We start from the raw sequence: 16,740 nt of genomic DNA on the forward strand, positions 1-16,740 counted from the left end.
GGTTGCTTTACCAAGGACCACTTATTGAATGCACAGTTTCTTGAGATAGAAAGGGTAATTCAAGTATGTATTTGTTAGGCCACTTGATGCGGTGTCTTATGTGTGTCTAATGTTCCATGAAATCTTCGGTGACAACATGAGCATAATCCCTCCTCTGCAAAATCCATGAGCCAGTGGGAGAAACAGCCAGGTAGATCTACAAATAAGAATGCAATTAGTAGATACATGCCAAGAGAAGGTTCAGTGATCAAAAGAAGAGAGAGAAGAGAGTCCAGTTTCCAATAAGAGTTTATCCTTCTTTGCTTCTCTTGTCTGGATTACAGCAACTGGCCTTCTAACAACCAATTCTATTCTATTCCACTCAAATGTATCTTCCACCTGGTTCTTAATGATCTTTCTAAAATCCTATCCTGATTATGCATTCCCTTACCCTCAGGTGAAAGTTCATGCTCCCTGGCATGATACACAAACCCACTGATAAGACAGTTCCTACTCTCCTCTAGCCACTTTCCTCAGTACCAGACCCACCTTACATCTTGTCCTCCAGCCATATTCACCTCCGTGTGGATGCCCAGATAATCAGGGTTTGCTCACCCCTTAGTCTTCATCTGCAGGGCGTTCTTCACTAAGGATTATAGTCTTGTTTTGTATTCTTCATGGAAAAAACTCTAAGTGAAGCTTCAGGTTTCATCCCAGGTATTATCTTTTCAGGAAGCCATTCTGACCCTCCTGGCCGGGGTCTGGCATTTCTCTTCTAGGTTCAAACGCGCCTGTGCTTACCTTGATAATAGATGGTAAGCTATTGAAATCCTATAGCTATTATGGTCCATACCATATAGATGATCAGTTTTGTGACTACCTTATCCAAAAACAAAAAAGAAAAACAAGGAGGAAGAGAAGAAGAGGGAGGAGGAGTAGAAGAGGGAGGGAGAAGGGAAGAAGGGAAGAAGGGAGGAAGGGAGGAAGGGAGGAAAGAAAGGAGGGAGAGAATGTGCCTATTTTGTGGATTATTACTACAGAGTAAATAAAATAACATTATTTAAACTTATAACTCCCATAGATCTCAACATAGCTTGTGTTGATAATTATTTACCTGATAAGTATTAATACATGAATGAATGAGTGAAAAGCTGTCAGTGGCTTTAGTGTCCCCAAGGAGTTTTTACAGTGCCCACAGGTTATATTCCGAGCCCTGCCTGCTCAGATGTCCTTTCAGTAACTTAGTGCTATGAAAACTGCTGTTTGGCTACAGGAGAAGGGCATTCAGCATGCGTTTCCTTGGGTCTAAAATAACTCTGCTGACAGAGGAAAGATTTGGCCTCTCAGATATCATAGGTAGCACAACTTACCCTTTGGTTGTTACTATATTAAAGTTGATTCAAGGATAGAAAACGGTGGAGAGATTTTCATGGAGCCAGTTTCTACATTAGGAACATTCACAGGCAAGCTGAAGATGTTTATCCATCCCTTTGTTCAGAAGAGAAGTTGCATTTTTATAAAAATAAATGTTGGTATTCTCCCTAGGTCTCAGAGCTTGATGAGAAAGCAACAGGTTCTTTATTTTCCTTCCTCCTTGTTTTTAGCTTTTGTTGTTTTAATGGTTTTAGGTAAACTGCTTATTTAAATTTCACAACAAAGTTTTCTCTAATAGTGAAGCTTCAGCTTTGAGATTCAAATAGCATGGTGGGTCATAGACCCTTTTCTGTTGTACCTGTGATGCTTCCATAGTGACGGAGAATAAGCAACACAAGTGTGGGGCACTGGAAATTCATTCCGGAAGGTAAGAAAACATTTCTTCACACAGAATTTCCTCAAGCATACTTACAAGATCTTAAATGAAAATATTAAGCATTTCCTATTATTACTTAGCTTATACTTGGTTGACACTGTATACATTTATCATAACTCTTGGAATACAAATTAGGACAGGAGTAATCTAAAACAAGATTTGGCACATCTCTGTAAAGAGTCAAGATAGTCAATATTTTAGGCTTCACAGGCCATACAATCTTTATTGCAGCTTCTATACTCAATTCTACCATTGTAGCAGGAAAGCAGCCACAGACAATATGTAGACAAATGAATGTGACTGTGTTTCCAGAAAACTTTATTTATAGACATAGAAATTTACATTTCATGTAATTTTCCTGTGTTATAAAATTTCTTCTTTTGATTTTTTTCTTAACCATTGAAAACCTTTCTTGGCTGGATTGGGTCTGTAGGCCGTAATTTACCCACCCCTTCTCTATAATATACCATATACCTCTGGGCTAAGAGGTAGAAGCCACGCAATATGCAAGTAAGATAAAGGATAAAGATCGGATTGCTTCTTCCCAGGACTATGGGGTACCTATGAGAAAGCTTAGAGACTCTCTAGGTAACACTATACTAATTCCCATGGAAATGATAAAAATGAATTCAAACTTTTTGCATATCTGTTGTATCTTGCACTTTTCATATGTTACCTTATTTAATCCTCACAGTGGCCATGTAAGGGCATTTAAAATTTTATCCTATTTTACAGAAGTGTAAACCGAGGCCCAGAAAAGTTGTGTAACTTGCCTAAGATCACACACCAGCCGGCATAGGATTTTCACTCAGTCTCCCTGACTAGAGAGTCTGTCCCCTTTTTACTCTACTTCCAATAGCATAATGTCCCTGGATCTGCCACTCTATTTGGAATTCATAATTTATACCAGCAGGTGGATGAATGGTGTGGGAATTACTGACACTAGCATTCAAAGCTTTCTATGGTATCCCTGATCTGGCTTCAATCTTGCTGCCTTTCTCTCCCACTATTCTCCTAGGCGAGCTCTGAATCCTTAAAACATCCTGCCCCTGTGCTTCTGCCTAGGTCACTTCCTCAGCCTGGCCTCCCAGGCTCAGTTCAAATGCCATCAGTACCATCAGCCTGCCTTGATTTCCCCTCATCTGAAGCTGAAAGTGATCCTGTTACTGAGTGACACCCAAAATACATTGTACCTCCCTGCTTTCATCAACATTATATTCACTGAAGTTTAGGTCTTATTCACCTACTGTTAGTTCTTTGAGGACAGAAAAAGTACCTTATAAATCTTTGAATCTTTATATATATTGCATAGGTTGAGTGCTTGATAAATTTGTCAAATGAATTAACAGTAGAGTATTTCAGGAAAAATGAAAAAAAAAAAGGTATCATCCTTAGCAAAATAAAAAATAGAATCTTTAAGATGGACAATGGAAGGATGCTCTCCAACATGATTAGACCATTCAGTTTTGTTTCTCACATCTGAAATTCAACTCTCCCTTGGCCATCTGGCTCAACTACATTCATCTAGGAAAAGAGAAGGAGCTTCTCCCTCTTTAACACTCTCTCCCAAGCATGGACATCCAACTTTTTTAAAAAAAATTCTTGTAGCCCAGCTCAGATTAGTTAAACAAGAGTTTATTAGAGGCTAGAGGATGACAAGAGGGCTATACACATGGGGAGGGACTAGAAAATGAGATTGGACAAGGTATATACAGTTTACAGCTCTGCAACTTAGCTTAGCAGCAGGGAAGTGGGCAGTGATTGAGGCCATCTTATGCCCTACTCCTCGCAGGGCATGTAGTGCCTTTAGAGTCTCTGAAATGGACACTCAAGAAACATGGCTCCAAAGAGATCATAGCTCACACTTACTCTGCTAAGATGTGCCACCAAGACTTTCAGGCGTTTTGTTAGAGAATCTTACTTTTATCAGAAGAATAAGTTCCAGGATGCCCAACTTCTTTAGGTCATATCTTGGTCCAATGCAAAAAGCTAAAACTTGGAGGGGAAAGGGGAGAAAAACAGAATCTGCTGTCCCAGTTGACAACAGTTTGAAAGCAGGACCAAGAAGTCCGGGTATGGACCAGACGACATTTAGATTTCTTTCCAGCTTTGGGTCTCTTCAGACCACACATCATGAGATATAGCAGTGGAAATTAGAACTAACTTTCAATATAAAACTATGAGCAACATTTCAATATGAATGTATTTTCTTTTTTTTTAAACAATAAGAAAATATACTAAATGGTGTTAAGTGGAAATATTAATGAGATGCTTAAACTTTAGTGAGTTACTTAGAATAGTTGAGAGAGGGAGAGAGAGAGATCAGTTGTGTGACCATGAGCAAGTCTGTTTCTTCTGGGTTTCCTCATCTGTTAAAATGGAAATAAAATGTTTCCCAGGACTGAGTAAGGATCAAATGAAACAACAGAGGTGAAAGAGCTTTGAAAAATAGAAGATACCCCCAACAAAAAAAAAGTAAGGGTTGATAATGAGCTAAATGCATTATAGACCCAGGAGACTAAGGCAGACTCAACCTCTTGGGCAAACAGCAGTCCAACAGGTGTCTTGAGTAAGGGTTGAGGTTGCATTCTGATTAACCCACGTGAAGTTTTTACATCATCTAACGCAATATGATACACCTAAGCAGAGCCCCTTGAAGGCCAAATTGGGTCTCTGGTTTCCTGTTGTTAGGACTGTGTGTTTTTCATTAATTTCAGTGACTTTTGCAATTTCTCATCTAAGGAATGCAGGGGAGGAAGGTCCATAAGGAAGACTGGAACAGAGGAAGGGAGAATTTTTAATACTAAAGCAAAAAGACATTAACTTTTGCAAAGGAGTAGATTACAAAACAAAAACAAACCCATTAGGTTAGTTAAATAAGCAGGTCATTGAGACTTGCCAAAGCACGTAATGAAATAGATAAGAACAAGTTTTGGGGAGTGGTTTTCTTGTTTGGTTTGTCCCCCAAAGGAAATATCTGGCAGGATTCTCTGCCTTGTAATTAATTTATCCTGTGGTTGATATCTTTGCTCAGTTTTATTGTATAAATAAAACAAGGAGCCAAATCTAATTTACATGGCAATATGTCATACAATTCCTATTAGAAGAGACAGGAGTAGTGGAGAATTATTCTTTGAATATTGTTTTTGTAAGGCCACTAGTACAGATTTTTAAAAAGAGATAGGGAGACTATTTGCAGAGAAAACACTAACCCAAGACCAAAGCAAGAAAAGAGCTCTGGTTTAGACTTGTTTGGTTTGAAAAGTAGCATTTGGTTCAGCATAACTAGCAAGATAACCAGGCAAATGATTCATCGGGCTTGTAACTTAGCAGGTGCATCACTGTGCATACCGCCAAAGAACCGTTCATGACTCGTTTCAAGCTGTGACTTTCTCTGTGTGGCAAGAACAAGAGGGGAATATCAGGTGCTCCAGTTTCCTGCTATGGGTGCATCTCACCTCATTCTGTTCAATTCTACTCAGAAAATATTTATCAAAATACTCATTCTGTGCTGCTAAGTTTTACTGGTTGCTGGTGGGAATGAAAATAGAGGTGAAAAAAGTGAGAATTTAAAAAAAGAGAAACTATCCCTGCACTCAAGGATTTTAATCTAATTAAGAAAAAAATCTGGTTTCCCTTCATGAAAAAAAAGATTCAATTATAAGGCAGTGTACAGTAGTACAAATCCAAAACCAAGGACACGGAATATGGCACTAAAGAGAAAGACAAAACTAAATATACACTCTGGACCAAAATTTGATGTAATAATTATATGTGTGTGTATAAAATATGCATACATACAGAATAAAAAAGTTACACATTCAAATGTTAATACTGGTTATCTCTGGATATGGGATTACAAGTAATTTTTTTTCTTATTTATGTAATTTTTTACTTTAACTCCTTGCATTGAACAAAATTCATATTTGAAACCAGGAAAAGAAATTTTAAAAATCCATGTATATATATAGACAGGCATCAAACACATGTGGCAAAGGTGAATGCTGTGGGAGGAATGAGGAAATGTCCTTTAGGATTATGACTGGGAAGGGCAGAGGACCTGGAAGATGAGTGTCCCCTCATAGAAATCCTGGGAGGGGAGACCCTCCACCTGAGAGACCTGTGTGAGAAGGAGTGGACAGTCACCTCTGAAGTCTACAGGTAAGATGAGAGGACACCATGGAGAATTCTGAATTTAGACAAAAACATCAGGACTGCATAAAGGCGAGTGGCTGGTGAGCCTGCCTCAGGAGCATAACTGGGATTGAAATGATTCATGATGCAACAGGAGCAAATGATATCATTTTGATCAGCCTGTTAGCATCCTGTCTATGCACCCCTTCTGAGGAAGACCCCGTGTCTTCAGGCATGAATCCTGGACCTTCTCTTAGGTTGCTTGCAATAAACAGTAGAGAAAGCTGAAAATTAGAATGAGCAGAGTCAGGGTCAAGTTTTTGGCATTTAGACTTTTAAAAGCAGGGGAATCAACAGCTGGAGAGAAGGATCTGATTCGAAAGAAGGTAAATGAGGATGAAGGAGTTAGGAACTACCTAGGCTGGATTTGGGAGAGGGATTTTTGATAGGAAGTTGAGAAAATAAAATGAATTATTTTCTTGAGACACCAGCTGCTATCCCTATGGAGGTCACTGTGCATAACAGAAGTAGGGGGAAAAAGGTAGTCTCTTGTACATTAAGAATGCTCTTCTACTGTGGCATCTTCTAAGACAGGGATAAGCTTTTCCCACAAAGGGCCAGATTGTAAATGTTTTCAGCTTTAAGCACACTACACAATGTTTGTCACAACTACTCAACTCTGCCGTTGTCACCCAAAAGCAGCCATAGGCTACATAAACAAATGTGGCCATGTTTCAATAAAACCTTATTTAAAAAAAAAAAAAAAAAAACTTAAAAAAATAATTTGGCCCATAGTTTGCCAACTCCTGTTCTATGATATTTGTAAGATTTATGCATCTTTCTCTTATTATTCCCTGACAGGATGCTCTTTCTTAGAATCTATACTATGCATAGAGAGTGCCATGTGGTATATTAGCTATATTCAGGTTACAGCAATCAACAGCCAGTTCTTTCACTGACCCCTTCAGAGGGATTGGGAGCTACAGAACAGGACCCTGACCATCAGAACATCCTAAGATTACTTGTTGTTTTTGTATGTGATTTCCTGTAGTGATCAGAAGGGAAAGCTTTACAATGAGAGAAGGTTTGTCTTCAGGGGCAAAAAGGAAGACAGGAGCTGGCACACTGTGGCTCCTCAGTCCAATTTACGTGAAGAAGAACCTCAGGAAGTAGAAAAGGTGGTGACAGATAGAAATGGCAAATGTAAGTGGCCTAAAGAAGAAGGCCTGCAGCAGGCTAGTGTGGCTTAGCATAAAAAGTCTATATGGTTACCTTTGAGAGCATCACTCACTCAATCAATACCTACAAAGCACCTCCTAAGTGCACAGAACTAAGGTAGGTACTGGAGAACAGCCAATAGGAAATGGATGCTGTCCTTCGGGAGCTAGCGTCTTACAGGCAGTGAGAAGAGACCACCATGGGAGAAGGAAAAAAACCATTGCAGCTGGTGAGAAGTGAGGCTCTATAGAGAAGAAAGTCAACAGTCAACATTGTGCTACTCCTAGGTCAGGAAAAACAGATCTAAATTGCCTGGCATTGCCCATTTTTGCATCAACACATATTTATTGAGCCACTGAACATACAAGAGAGAGGCAGGAAGGAAAAGCCAGTTTTTGCCCAAGGAGAAATTTATAATTTTGGAGCAAGACAGGCCTGATCTCCCAGTCAGCTCACATGAGATGAGTTTGGATGGGTTGTTCTCAGCCACTTACTTGCAGGAACTCAGGCATCTATGGTGGCAGATCATAATTTCCTCCAAGACAAAAGTGCCAACCAGCTAAGCAAATGCTTATTGAGCATGCTGCTAAGTATCTGGATATTTAGAAATGTCTAGTTGGCTAGCTGACTTTTTCATTTTTCAGCTTAATGTTGGCATTCCTTAGAAACAATCTGAGATTGATTTTTTCCTGCACAAGTCAAATTAAATGTGTTATTTGTCAAATAACTCTCTAAGAAAATGCTGTTCCATATTTCAATAAAGTGTGCTTCCCGTGAACCCTTGAGAGGTAGGCATTTTTTCCACCCTGTGCCATTTTTTTCCACCCTGGTCTATCCTGGTGCCAGGCTCATGGAAAGAACTTTCTATTTGCAATGAGTGATTCTGGCAGAGTACATGTGGTATTATTCTTGGTTTGTGTCTACTGCATTAGGATGCTTTCCTAAACAATGTGGCCATGTTTTTTGCTTCCCAAATGTACATTCTGCTGCTGCAGAACATTTCTAAGCCTCGGCCTTGCTGAAGCATTCTAGAACTCTTAAAACTATGGACTGAATCACAGGAGGCTTCTAATATGTATCAACCGAATACTTGTTTCATTTGGAGGTTGAAGAACTCTGTAAGATTGGAGAAGAGCACAACAAAGAATATCTCTGTATTGAACAGCTGGGTGCTGGGTGAGGCCCTATTCCTCCCTACACGAGGAAAAAAGTGCATGCAGGGTTTGGCTGAGCATTATAAAGCTGCCATAACATTTGTATCTTATTGCCTTCTTTTCCTATCTCCAGTCACCACAAACACTTATGGTTATTATGATAAGATATAGATAACAGGGCAATACAAGGTTATCAGCAAGGGAATGGTGGCAATTTGTAGAACAGACAAACTAGGTAGCTGCAATTTCCAGAGGGCTCAGTACTTCAGATATTAAGGTGTGTGGGCTTTAGCTTTGTCCTCCTGAGAGCATTGGCCTTCACATCCTATTTTTCCATTCCTCTGCTCTCTGCTTCCGAGTGCACACAAACCTCTCTGGGAGGAGAAATGACTTCTGGATTATCCAGGGAGTGGATGGTGGATATTAATAGAAGTCAAATTTACAACCATTGTTGTACTCTAAGACTCATGGGCTATTGAACAGGAACTATTTTTATGCTCACACCAAAGCTATTTATTATTCCAGTGCATCTCATGCTCCTGACCAGTACCTCTTTGTGGTTAAAAAAAAAAAGTGTAAAATTCTATTCTATTTTTATATTTTTGAGTCTTGAGTGAGTCTTTTCCTTTTTTCTTGGGTGTTGAGATCTAGTCACAGTAAACCACATTCACTCAGGCATTTCTCCCATCCTCCAGTCTCTTGTGCCCATTTGAGGAGCTCCCCTCATTCTTGGTTTAATTACTGCTCTTGATTTCCTTGGCTCTTCTGTCAATCCCTTATACTCAGCCTCCTCATCTCTTGGGTGATTTTTATCTTCCTTCTCAGTAATTTGTTGATTAACCTTCTTCATTTCTCCCTAGGAAGGGCTCAGTCTTTTTTCTCTAAAGCTGCTATCTCACTGGTAATGACACAGGAGTTTTTTGGTGCCACTTTGCCAGCCAGAAATCTCCACAGCCAGCAGTACCCTTCCCAGGCATCACTCAGCTCTGGGCTCACCACTGGACTCACTCTTCCCACTCAGCCTGGCAGGCTGCACTCAACTCACACTACCACCCCAGATTCCACGCCCGCTGGGGCTCTGAGCTCAGCCTGCAGCTGAACTGGGCATGATGTGACCTGCTTCCACCTTGGGTGCCGGCTTCTGGACAAGGGGAACATGGTGGCACCTGAAAACTCAGAGATACCAGCAACTGCAGAGCCCCAAGGGGTGTTATGGCTGTCCCCTAGGGAGTCCCAAGGTCTGAGCCACCAAAGACTGTTACATCTCTCTCTCCTTCCCACCACCCACAGCACAGCAAACAGCAGGGTGTGTTACAGCTCGTTCATGTTACAGCTCACATTCATTCCCACCGCCCACAGTGCGGCAAATAGGAGGGTGTGTTACAGCTCATTTGTTCCTGCCATCCACACACTCCAGTGAATGGGAGCATGTCACAGCTCATTCAGTCCCACTACCCCACTCTAGCCTGCAGCTCCTGGGCTGGGCTGGCCTGGCCCCACCGTGGCCACTTCCTTGTCACATAGGGCAGCTGCCCTGCGCTGGTGGAGAGCGGGAGGGTTCTTGTCCCACATCCAAGAAAAATGAGGTTACACAGACACTGGAGAGTTAGTGCAGTGGAGAAGGGTTTTATTGAGCAACAGAACAGCTCTCAATAGGAGAGGGGGCCCAAAGCAGGTAGCCCTCTGTGTGAGAAGGGGCCTGAAGGTGGGTAGTACCAATGTGTGGCTGAGTCTGGGGATTTTATGGGCTCAGAATGGGGAAGTGCATGCTGACTGGTCCATAGGCAGGCCTGGAAAAAGCATCATTTGATTGGCTAAAATACATCGAGGAAGTTCTCACTCCAGTTGTGGACTCTGGCAACTCATCTTTCAGGCTTTAAGCTATCTTTGGCTTGAAGGTCAGGTTTCACCAGGAACTAACCCCTGTGTGCCTAGGAATTTGTCTGCCTCCTGCCACAATCAATAAGATTGTCTCTGTTTCTCTTCAAGGCCAGCATTAGCTATCTAGTGACTCTTCTCCGGCCTTCAGATTGAGATCCTAGGGACATTTAGCTTTCTGCTTCGACTTTAAAGCTGGGTGTAACATGCATGCTGGCATCCATTAGGCAAATTGCTTCTGATTCTACCAGGCTTCTCTCTTACCCCTCTAGGAAGGCTAAACTAGACTTCTTGCAATATACTGTAAGATGCAACACCCCAGTCTGTCTCCACCTTAAGCATCCATTATTATCCTCTATGACATATAATTCTTATTTACATTTTTATTTATATAATTGTTATATAATATAAATATATAATTATATAAATATAAATATTAAATATATATTATATAATATAAATATTAATTATATGATATAAATATTAAATATATTATATAATATCACTATATAATATAAATATAAATATTTAAAATTCTTTATCTTTATTTACACAATCAATTTCTGATTTAATCATTAATTTTGTTTTAATCCATTTTTCTCACTTCACAGTTGAGGGAACAAAGTCCAGATGGTATAGTGACTTGACCACGGTCACAACAGCTAAGATTAATTAGTAAGAGACTAGAACTCTCACCTTCCTTCTTGCATGCTCTTCTCATTGTACTGTCACCTCCCTTAGTCTTGCCAGTTTCTCTTCTAATAAATCCTTATATATGAAACACTGACATACCAGTTTTACTTTTTATAGGGCCTTAACATAAAGCCTCCTAAATTGGTTGATAAAATTATTTGATCCAGTAATTACATAGCAGAATAAACATGACTTCTAGATTCTCTTCCTGACATCTTAGCAGTTCTCAGCCCTCTCCTCTGTGACCCGTCCACCTACTCTCTCAGGTAGTAAATGATAGTGCCCGCCCCAAAGTATGTCCTCAGGAGACGCTTTAGTCAAAAAGGGCCCCATGTCAAACATGTTTGCAAAATGCTCATAGTACATCTGATTCCTGCCCTGGGAATTGATAATGTGTGTCAAAGGCTCTGAGAGTGCTATAATCAAGAAATTTGTATGACTTTATTAAATTTAATATTTATGAAGTTGATTTTGCTATAGAACTCTTTTCCTAACAACACCTATTTTGCTATGGAACTCTTTCCCTAACCTATTAAAAGTTTGCAGAACACATTTTAAGAAAAAGCAGCTCCAAATTCTTTTTCTTCATTTCTGTGTAACTCTCCCATCCTTAGCATATCTACACTGCCCTACAAAAACATTTCCATCCTGTGACTACCTGTTTAAGTTCCTATCATGGTAAAGTATTAGTAAGGGCTTGCTATGTCTAGGAAAAACACTGAATGTGTATTCTAACATGAGTTGAATCCCAGTTTCTCCGGCTACACGACCTTGAAGAAATAGCTTTACTTTCTGTAAGCATCAATTTCTTCACCCATAACCTCAACATCCTAATTTCTGCCCTTCCGATATCATTATTGCTGTGAGAATCAGCTGAACTAGTAGATGAGAAAGGATATCGTTCATTCTAAAAGATGTTATAAATGTTAAAAATTATTATTCTATCATTATTAATGGCAATGGCAATGAGGCTAAACCTCCTTTCTTAAGCAACACATTTACATTAGTGTCAAACATTCCCAAAGGGAATAAAAACTGCTCATATTGGGTTTAATCTGTCAATTGAGCATTGAGAATTACAGCTGAAGAATCAAAACAGAAATGAGTACATTGCAAAAGAAAAGGAGAAGGGAGGTATAACCCTGGGGTGTTGGGGAGTGGGGGCAGGTAGCTGAGAGGAATCTAAACTCAATCTTTGAGGAGGGAGAGCTCTTGTGGAACTTCAATAAGTGATCTCCTATGACCCAGGGACAGGGGTAAATGGTGCAGTCAGGAGTTAAGTGCCTGGTGGAGCCATACACAAAACTGTTAATGAAATGGAAGGCTTGGACAGCAAGCAGCAGAGACCCCTCCCTAGTGACATGAAGCCAGGAGCCCTAAGAGAACAAGCAAGAAACAGTCTTTTGTGAGACACAGCAGAGATCTGTCCCTTTGGCCCAGAAGGAAGATCGCAGATAGGACTGGATGTCAGCAACTGGAGGTCAACAACTTAGAGCAGAGCCAGAGAAATACTAGTTTTTCACCAATGGGTTTATATGAGTATGTCCTACTTGTCTGACAGGCTGGTGGCCAGAAAAAAACATCTGTTACACATTTTAATAGGGGCCTTCTGAACACATGATGCTGTAACACAAAGGAGTGATGTAAATGGTGGGGAAATTTAGAGATCACAGCTGGCCAGAAACTAAACTTAACATGGGTCCTTTAAGGCTTTGTCCTTCTGACCATTCCAGGTTCCTAAATCTTCCTGCCAAGTTGGCTGGAAGCCAAAATATTTCTCAACTTTGCATTTATTTCAGGGTGTTAATCTCACAGGCAACCAACCCCTACTTAATAAACTCCAGCTCTCCATGCCCACTCCTTTAGGATGCCTGTGTGTGCTCTCCCGAAGGCTCAGCACACATGCGCCTACCGCTGTCGTTTCCTGCCTGGGGAGGGTGTTGACACAGGAGAGCCAGGGCATCATGCAGCTGTCATCAGCTCAATGCCACAGATGGCATCTCGATTATGCATCCCCTTCCCAAGGCACTTGCCCGTGAGTCTGTGAGCCCTCTACCTGGCTCTGGGTCTTCTTTCCAGCCCCAGAGGCCAGCAGGAGAGGAAGGGTAACGGGGCTCAAGATGGGCTCAAGATCCTTTCGCTCTGCTACCAAGCTGGGAAGGAGTGGGCTTCCCTTGCCTTTTCTTCAGTCCCACTTTTAATCACTAACCACAGAAGGTAATGAGAAAGTGCTTGAATTACAAAGATTCCCATTTATTACTCTGACTGCCCCTCCACAAAGCCCCTCTTTTCCCCTTTGGCAAGAACAGATCACTATTGACACTTTTAGAAGGCCCTGGGCCCCTCTCAATTATTGGCCTAATCTCTGCCTGCTGAATTCTGAAAGCAGAATTCTTTTCTAACTAGATTTTTTAGAAAGTGAAGAGGCTACCCTTGGCTTTATTCATTGGAATGACTTCGCAGGCTAATGTATTCTCCTGTCAGTATATTTTATGGATTCAGCAACATCTGCAGGATATGGAAAGAACAGAAACAAACCAGATGTTTCAAAAAGGTAGCTCCACTAAGCCTCCTTAACATAATTATTGCAATATCACATCCACATTTTATTGTACCTCTTCTATATTTATATGCTGTTAACTTTTCCTGTAGAAATCCGAACCAAGTTCCTTCTAAACAGATTTGCAATCTTTAAAAACAATTTTGACATATATCCTCCATTAAATCCAAATTTTCTTTATCAAATTTTAGAGGGGAAAATAAGATTAAGGAAATGTAGATATTTATCTCAGCCTTCAACATTTACACTCATTTAGTTAATTAGCACTTAATTACACTGTCAAAGGGGGAAATTTTACCACGGACAGACCAATCCCCACCCCTCAGGCCCTCGCTTCTAAGAGAAGCAGACCTTTGCTGGGAGCCAGCTCATTCCTCCACGAAACATTTGTAATGATTACTTGACAAGGAGTGCAGATACAAAATTGCGCAACAGAGAGCCATCACTCACCACAGCCCGCTGGAATTCTCATGCTGGAGCAACAGTGCCCCCCAAAGCAAGCGGCCAGAAGCACCCTGCAAGCAAACACTGGGCTGCCCAAACTTCTATTTTCTGCTTTATAAGCTGAGGAGCTATTTTAAGAGCTGCTGGCCAAAAGCAGGCTCTATTACAACCAGACCAGCATTCCAACCAAGCTGGGGAGCCTCGGCTGGAAACAGAATGTTTCCACCTATTTTAAATCAGACGCCAGGAATTCTCTAAGGAAGAGATGGGAGGTGGGGAAGGAGAGACATGGTAGAAAATTGGAAAATTTTAGAAGTTTGCCAAACTCAAGAGAACAAAGTATAACTGGATTAATGCACAAATCTTATTAACCAAAATGCAAATGAATAGAGTTCCTCCATCTTTTCACAAATGGCAATATTATTTGGTCTCAGCTTTCCTGCCAAACAGAAGAACTCATTAAAGCTGTTGGAAAATAATAGTACTCTAATTAGTTTAATTATGATACGATGAATCAACCCAATTTTTAAAAACAATATGCAATTAGCCTTTTTTAAGTCAAAGACTCTGTTTTCCAAAACAGGAAATGAAGCATAACACTCTTATTTCATCGTTAGGGCAAAATCCTAACCACTCTGATACAGTAGTATAATGAGCATGTAATGAAACCAACAGTCCCCACTTCTTCAGCAACTCTCTTTGTGCATTGACTAGACGGCCTTTTGGCTTCAAGAATGGCAACTGCATTAAGCTGGAGGCTGACCCAAATTTTCCCTTTCAAGTTCTAAGTCCTGTTTTCTATTTTCGTTTCTATCCTGGAATAGGGTCACCCTACAAAAGATGAAATATTACATTCTTAGAAGACAATGAACTGATGATGTCATATTGGCATGTTTGGGTTTTATACTGCTCTTGGGGGTAGTGCAAGGAAAAAAATAATGTGGTGTTGGAAATGGGGAATGCAAGCCAGGCAGCCTGAAATCCAAACTTTTAAAATCAAACCACATAATCAACACCACAATATCGATACTGGGGAGGTTGGAATAGTAAACAAATAGTATATATTTTTTAAAAAACCCTCTTTCCCCTGGGAAAAAAATCCACAATGAGACTCCCACCCACTACAATCTTACCAAAATAGCTAAAATTAAAAGGACTGATAATACCAAGTATTTGTAAGGATAAGAAGAAATTAGAAGTATCATACATTTTTAGTGAGAGTATAAATTGGTACAACACTTTGGAAAACTGCTTCATGGTATCTACTAAATAGCTAAATCCTAAGACCTAGCAATTCCACTCCTGGCCAACCTAAATGAGTGCACACATCCATCAAAAAGCATGTACAAGGACGTTCATAGCAGCTTTATTCATAATAGCCTGAAATTGAAAACAACCCAAAAGTCCATCACTAGTAGGATGAATAAATTGTGACATATTCATATGATGGAATAGTACATAACAATACTGCCCAAACACAGAAGAGTACATACAACAAGCTTTCACTTACATTTTGTTAAGAAATAGGCAAAACTAATCAGTGGTGATAGAAGGCATCATGAAAGTAGTGGAGGAATGACTGGGCAGGGCATGAGAGCCTTCTGGGGTGTACCGGAATTGTTATGTATCTTAATTTGGGTGGCAGCCACACGGGTACATACATAAGTAAAAATGTATGCAACTGGATAGTTAAGATGTATCCCATTTATGTATAGTATACCCCAATTTTATTAAAAAAAAAAACAAAACAAAACAAAACCGTAAAAGCAAAGGCAGAAGAAAAGGAATCTCCTGCTACAAACTAGAGTCCTCTGCTTCAAATTTGTAACATACAATGTCACTTCCCTACATGAAACCCTCCAGGACTTCCCCTTCCTCTGAGAATGGTCTGCAAACCTTTCACTTGGCCTGCATATCCTGGGCCCTATCTACCTTGGCAAACTTTTTACTCATCACCTGTGTTCCACTTCCTCTTGCTAACTGCCCTCCAGCCACCCTGATAGTTTTCTCATCTAATACATCAGGCTCATTTTGACCTAGGTACTTGCCACTTGCTCTTCACTCTGCATGCACTGCTTTTCTCCAGATCCCCCTATGATCACCCCCAACTCATCAGTCAGACCTCAGCTCAAGTGCCATCTTCAGAGAGGCCTCTGCTGCCCACCCTAGCTAAAGTAGCATGCTCATTTCACTACCATCTCTCTCTAGCCTATCACCCCATCTATCCTTTTCAATTTTATACATAGTGCTTCTCATTCTCTAAGATTATCTGGCATGTTTACTTGCTTATTTTCTGCATTCTCCTCTAAAATATATGCTTCTCAAGAAAGTGGACAAGGTCTGTCTTGTTCACTACTGTATCTCCAGTCCCTAGGGTAGAGCCTGTCATCTAGTAGCCACTCAATAAATATTTGCTTAATCATGACTCAATAAATGAATAAATTACCACCCCCAAAAGTTAATGGGCATGGGAAAATTCATAAGGAACATCATGGCACAGTCAAAAGAGCACTGGATTAGGAGTCAGAAGACCGAGATGCTTAGAGTAGATGATTAGCTGCTTTAACATTTTTGATATCACCTATCTAAATCTAGTTGGGAGATTGGACATGTGGACATGAGGAGATAATGAGCAAATGATGCAGCAAAAGGCCAAAGGAGAGACCTCAAAAGATGAAGCCCTATGGTTAGGTTGGCCTGGTCAGGTGACCTTGCAAAGGAGGTGGGGTTTTCACTGGGCCTGGAAGGCTTAGGGGAAGGAATGGGAAGAGATAGAAAGAAGCAGAAGATCATAAATTGCGAACTTGGGTCAGCGAATGTGCAGAGGTGAGAAAACCCAAGACCTGCTGAAGACCCAGGAGCAGATGCAT

General features: G+C 40.5%; 1 long non-coding RNA gene across 1 annotated transcript in view, besides 2 other annotated features; it reads right to left on the reverse strand.

Annotated features, from left to right (window-relative positions):
* Nucleotides 1–13,941, reverse strand: part of LOC105374786 (uncharacterized) — a 98,219-nt gene extending 84,278 nt beyond the window's left edge. The window contains exon 1 of the long non-coding RNA XR_001739524.2: nucleotides 13,877–13,941. This is a non-coding gene — a long non-coding RNA (uncharacterized LOC105374786). The remainder of the gene's footprint in view (nucleotides 1–13,876) is intronic.
* Nucleotides 8,943–9,443: an enhancer, noted in NCBI's record as "H3K27ac hESC enhancer chr2:67873164-67873664 (GRCh37/hg19 assembly coordinates)". NCBI's record gives its function as "activates a minimal SCP1, AML or CMV promoter by ChIP-STARR-seq in naive H9 embryonic stem cells {active_cell/tissue: H9 hESC(naive)}" and the evidence as "EXISTENCE:reporter gene assay evidence [ECO:0000049][PMID:30033119]".
* Nucleotides 9,444–9,944: an enhancer, noted in NCBI's record as "H3K27ac hESC enhancer chr2:67873665-67874165 (GRCh37/hg19 assembly coordinates)". NCBI's record gives its function as "activates a minimal SCP1, AML or CMV promoter by ChIP-STARR-seq in naive H9 embryonic stem cells {active_cell/tissue: H9 hESC(naive)}" and the evidence as "EXISTENCE:reporter gene assay evidence [ECO:0000049][PMID:30033119]".
* Nucleotides 13,942–16,740: the final 2,799 nt, after the last annotated feature.

This window comes from Homo sapiens, chromosome 2, assembly GCF_000001405.40.
Source record: "Homo sapiens chromosome 2, GRCh38.p14 Primary Assembly".
Taxonomy (NCBI): Eukaryota; Metazoa; Chordata; class Mammalia; order Primates; family Hominidae; genus Homo; species Homo sapiens.